The sequence below is a fragment of the Homo sapiens genome, chromosome 16, assembly GCF_000001405.40.
Source record: "Homo sapiens chromosome 16, GRCh38.p14 Primary Assembly".
In the NCBI taxonomy this organism is placed as follows: Eukaryota; Metazoa; Chordata; class Mammalia; order Primates; family Hominidae; genus Homo; species Homo sapiens.
The window spans coordinates 28632111-28637890 of record NC_000016.10 but is presented as its reverse complement, the minus strand read 5'-3'; positions in this window follow the sequence as shown (position 1 = coordinate 28637890).

Genomic DNA, 5780 nt, shown 5'->3' with positions numbered 1-5780 from the left:
CAAGGCCTTGTTCATGGCAGGTGCTCAATAAACACTTGTCAAATCAATGCATGTTTAGATTCTATTCTGTTTAGATTCTACACTGTTTAGATTCTATTCTGCCTCCACCACTTATCAGCTGTGTGATCTGGGTAAGATAATTCACCTCTTTATGTCTGCACTTCCCTCTCCATAAACTATATATAATGAGAATCCTTAGCTCATTCGGTTGTGGTGACGGGTGAATGATTTGGCACACAGGAGGGGCTTCTTAAACATTAGCTGTGATGATCTCCTTCCAAATCTTCATTTTCAGAGCCACAGATGAGGCCATAGTGCAACCAGGTGACCTTAGAGTGTAAGTACACATGATCGCCAGCTATGCTCTGTCTCCACCATAGGTCCAAGACTGGGTAGTTCCGGCCTGGTGGTTTCTGCTGCATCTGCCTTCTCAGTGCTCACCTAAGGACTTTTGTATTTTCCTCCTCGCATCCCCACAGATGGGGTTCAGGCTGCCGGACACAGCTGGGTGATGCCAGGGCAGTGGTCACCTGTGCCAGCCCTGTGAGGTAGCTGGAGGATCATTGTTCCTTCCTTCTCGGGCTCTGGGCAGATGCCAGGGCTGGGGTGACCCATGCCCTCAAGTTTCTTGCTTTGGTGGGCCACATTTTCCCTTGGCAAAGAGGGTAAAGGTCACAGGATGCCAGAGAGCTGTGACTTCTCTGTGCCCTGGGCCCAAACTATGAAGACCTGACACACTATGCTAAAAGTCCAAGGCTGGGTGCTCCCCAGAGCTTCTTGCCTCACCGCTTCTGCTGAGGGAGGAATGAATACTATGTCCTCCCAGAGCTTTGGGAGCTTGTAGCAAGCAGCCTCCCCAGCACAAAATCTCTTGGAAACCTCTAACTGTGTCTGAAACATTAGTGCAAATGTTGGATCATATTTCCCATATGTCCGCATGTTTTAGGAAAAAACCCTCAATTTCCTAAATATGCAAGAAAAATCGATATTGTAGGACAATGTGACTTTTTAAAAAATGTTATTTAAAAATCTTCCCCACCTCCTTTTCTGCCCTCCAAGACTGCCAAATACTTGTTGAACAAATATTATTAAAAGCCTACTACGTGCCAGCCATGATTCATGGTCTTGGGGACACAGCAGAGAACGAACTGACAGGATTCCTCTCTTATGCAACTCACATTCTTACATGATAATGATAAGGGTTAACATTAATTAAGCCGTCACTACGTGTTAGTCATGGTGCAGTCATTCCCACACATTATTACACTTAAACCTGCTAGCAAGCTTGCAAGGTAGTTAGTTGTTTTTCCTTTAAAAACTGAGTCTCAGAATGATGAAGCACTTTGTCCAATGTCACACGGCTAGTAAGTGTGGACACCTTGCATCCAATCAATGCCCATCTCATTCTAAAGGCCATGTTATGTGTTCTCCAGCCCATGGAGAATAATTTTAACACAGTCAATGAAATTTCTACACAACAATGTTCTTGTCTCAAGTCCAAGAATGCCTCCTACACCTCCTATAATACAGGCTTTCTGGTGAGTAAAGATGCCATTCTCATGTGTAATCAGGTGGCAAATGGAGATATGACCAAAGTAACCATCTGCCTACACTCATAACCCTGTACACACTCTTCCTGTGTCAATTCAATTCAAGTACCCCTTTTGATCACTTAGCAAAACTGAGCTTTAAAAGGGTTAAGGTTTTTATATCCATGTAAGTTTCTGTATTGCTTTGGAAGTCTCTGGTTAAATGAATACTCTTTTAATAGTGACCTGTGATTCTGTTTTGATCAAGTGTTTTCAAACTTGACGTCTTTGATGGGTTTTTCCAGTGTCAAAATCCTAAATCAAGTCTTTTTGGCCTAAAATTAACTTTGGGATTTTTCAGCTGTGTCCCTTGGGGAGTCTAAAGAATGTATCTCTCATCTTGTAGAGGTATTAAGTGATTCGATTTATTTGGTAGATTAAATGGGCAGGCATTGTCAAATGTGGTGATACTGCATGGGAGGGCACTGTCAAGTGAGGTGACATTAGATCTCATCTCAGTTATATTTATGGGTATGTTGTTGATATACGTGTTCCAAAAATTACACACATTTATACAAATTTAAGATGTTATTATTTGTAATTTTGATAGTTATGCTAAATATTTGCTAAAGTTATATTTGTATAAACATGTCATGAATGGCTGGGCACCATCACTCATGCCTGTAATCCCAGCACTTTGGGAGACAAAGGCAGGTGGATCACCTGAGGTCAGGAGTTCGAGACCAGCCTGACTAATAGGGTGAAACCCTGTCTCCACTAAAAATACAAAAATTAGCCATGCCTAGTGGCACATGTCTGTAGTCTCAGCTACTTGGGAGGCTGAGACAGGAGAATTGCTTGAACCCAGGAGGCGGAGGTTGCAGTGAGTCGAGATCATGCCACTGCACTCCCGCCTGGGTGACAGAGGTAAAATCTATCTAAAAAAAAAAGTTATTAATTATTTCTGAAGATTACATGAAATTTATAAAAGTCTGGTGGTCCTGATATGATGCTGTCAGTCATGATTCTGATTACTGTCTTAAAATGCCGCACATAAGTAATTAAATTTCCTTGTGAACTGGGAAGTTTCATCAGACTTTTATCATAACTATTGTTTCCATCATCCACAGTTATTGTTTCGAATCTTCTCTAAAAATATTTGTAATTGGCAATAGTCCAAATTTTCTTTTGTTTTCTTTCCTGTTTTTGAGACACAGTCTGGCTCTGTCGCCTAAGCTGGAGTGCAGTGGTGGGATCTCGGCTCACTGCAAGCTCTGCCTCCCGGGTTCATGCCATTCTCCTGCCTCAGCCTCCCAAGTAGCTGGGACTACAGGCGCCTGCCACCACGCCCAGCTAATTTTTTGTATTTTTAGTAGAGACGGGGTTTCACTGTGTTAGCCAGGATGGTCTCAATCTCCTGACCACCTCCGCCTCCCAAAGTGCTGGGATTACAGATGTGAGCCACCGCGCCCAGCCTAATTTTTGCATTTTTAGTAGAGAGGTTTCACCATGTTGGCCAGGATGGCCTTGATCTCCTGACCTTGTAATCTGCCTGCCTCGGCCTCCCAAAGTGCTGGGATTACAGGCGTGAGCCACTGCAACTGACTTTTTTTCTTTTTTTTTCTTTTTTTTTTTTTTTTGAGACAGAGACTCACTCTGTCACCCAGGATGGAGTGCAGTGGCATGATTTCGACTCACTGCAATCTCCACCTCCTGAGTTCAAACAATTATCCTGCCTCATCCTTCAAAGTACCTGGGATTACAGGTGATTGCCACCATGCCCGGCTCATTTTTGTATTCTTAGTAGAGACGGCGTTTCGCCATGTTGGCCAGGCTGGTCTCAAACTCCTGGCCTCAACTGATCCACTCTCATTGGCCTTCCAAGGTGCTGGGATTATAGGCATGAGCCACCACAACTGGCTCAGTAAGTACGTTTTTTATTATCAAAAAAGAGTAGTCTATGATTGGCGTATTCTGTGTAGAATGTATTTTATTGATGTCTTCTATTTTTATAATTTCTGAGTTAAGTACTTTTTAATGAATGCTTTTTAGTTTTGGGCAGATTCAGTTGACTAAAGCCCCTCATTTCCCAGATACATGAAATAAAATATTTGGCTTCTTTTCCAATTTCACACTGATGTTATTTTGTGAAAATCAGTGCTTTAAGATAAATCTTTATACTTTAAGGTAAACATGAGAAATTTGATCTAATATTTAATATTTATTCAGTTCTACACTTTATTAAATTCTACACCAGCAGATTTAAAAATTATGTAACTATCTCAAGAAGTTTCACTTGGATGTAATGGTTCACGCTTGTAATCCCAGCACTTTGGGAGGCTGAGGTGGGAGGACCACTTAAGGCAAGGAGTTTGAGATGAGCCTGGGCAATACAGCAAGATCCCATCTCTATTTTAAAGAAAAGTTTCACTTTGGGAGGCTAAGGTGGGCGGATCACAAGGTCAGGAGATCGAGACCATCCTGGCTAACATGGTAAAACCCCATCTCTACTAAAAATACAAAAAATTAGCCAGGCGTGGTGGTGGGCACCTGTAGTCCCAGCTACTCAGGAGGCTGAGGCAGAAGAATGGCGTGAACCCGGGAGGCGGAGCTTGCAGTGAGCTGAGATTGCGCCACTGCACTCCAGCCTGGGCAACAGAGCGAGACTCCGTCTCAAAAAAAAAAAAAAAGTTTCAGCAAATCCCACCTAAGAATTCCACCAGAGTTCTGTTGTCTCCAATGTCATCTTCCACAGATTTCAAGTTATGAAGCCCTGAACTGTTAATTTATCTTGAGAATGTATATTTAAGCTTAATTTAAGACTATATACCTAAAAATTGAGCATATAATTTGTATAATTTGTTTATGTAAGTTTCTGTAAGTCATAAGTATGTAGTTTCCAAGTGTATAATTTATCTGAATGTAATAGGCATTAATATATTTTACATTATCAGGACCATAGTACAGAAATTTCTAAATGGTTTGTTAAATAACTTGTTATTTGCGTTGTTGTAAAAGTTGTTAATACAATGGAAAAACTCATAATAAGAAGATACAGTTTAACATCAAAAAGTTTACCCAAGGTAATTATGAGTACTACCTGGCAAAACTTCACAGAAGCTGTGGTATCACTTTTATGATAGAAGAATAGTGTTTGCATTTTGTGTAAAAGTACTTGGGGCTGGGCGTGGTGGCTCATGTCTATAATCCCAGTGCTTTGAGAGGCGAAGGCAGGTGGATCATCTGAGCCCAGGAGTTTGAGACCAGCCTAGGCAACATGGCAAGAGCCTGTCTCTCCAAAACCTACAAAAATTAGCCAAGCATGGTGGTGTGAGCCTGTAGTCCCAGCTACTTGGGAGACTCATGCAGGAGGATCTCTCGAGCCCAGGAGGCAGAAGATGAATAAATAAATGGATGCCACTGAATGAGATGAGGTCTCTCTTGAAGGAGAGAGCAAAAGATATTTAAATAATAATTATAATAAGGCTGGGCGCGGTAGCTCACGCTTGTAATCCCAAAACTTTGGGAGGCCAAGGCAGGTGGATCGGTTGAGGTCAGGAGTTCAAGACCAGCATGGCCAACACGGTGAAACCCTGTCTCTATTAAAAATACAAAATTAGCCGGGCATGGTAGTGCATGCCTGTGGTCTCGGCTACTCAGGTGGCTGAGACAGGAGAATCGCTTGAACCTGGTAGGCACAGGTTGTAGTGAGCCGATAAATATAAAAAGTATTAGAGTACTAACAGAGGAAAGTTTCCACTGATCACCTTTTAGCTTTAAACAATGCAGAAGCATTTGCCCAGTTTACTTGTAATTAAAAATCATGCATCATTCACAATTTATCAGTCTTTTTTGTTTGTACAATAACTAATATAGTTATTCTCTTTTGTCTGTATTTTGACTGGTTTGGTGAGAGGGAATTAGGCCACCTGAGAGTTTGTGTGTTTAAAATTTTCTGGCCAGGCACGGTGGCTCATGCCTGTAATCCCAGCACATTTGGAGGCTGAGGCAGGGGTATCACCTGTGTTCAGGGGTTCTAGACCAGCCTGACCAACATGGAGAAACTCCCGTCTCTACTAAAAATACAAACTTAGCTGGGCGTGGTGGTACATGCCTGTAATCCCAGCTACTCAGGAGGCTGAGGCAGGAGAATCACTTGAACCTGGGAGGCGGAGGTTGTGGTGAGCTGAGATCGCGCCATTGCACTCCAGCCTGGGCAACAAGAGCGAAACTCTGTCTCAAATAAATAAA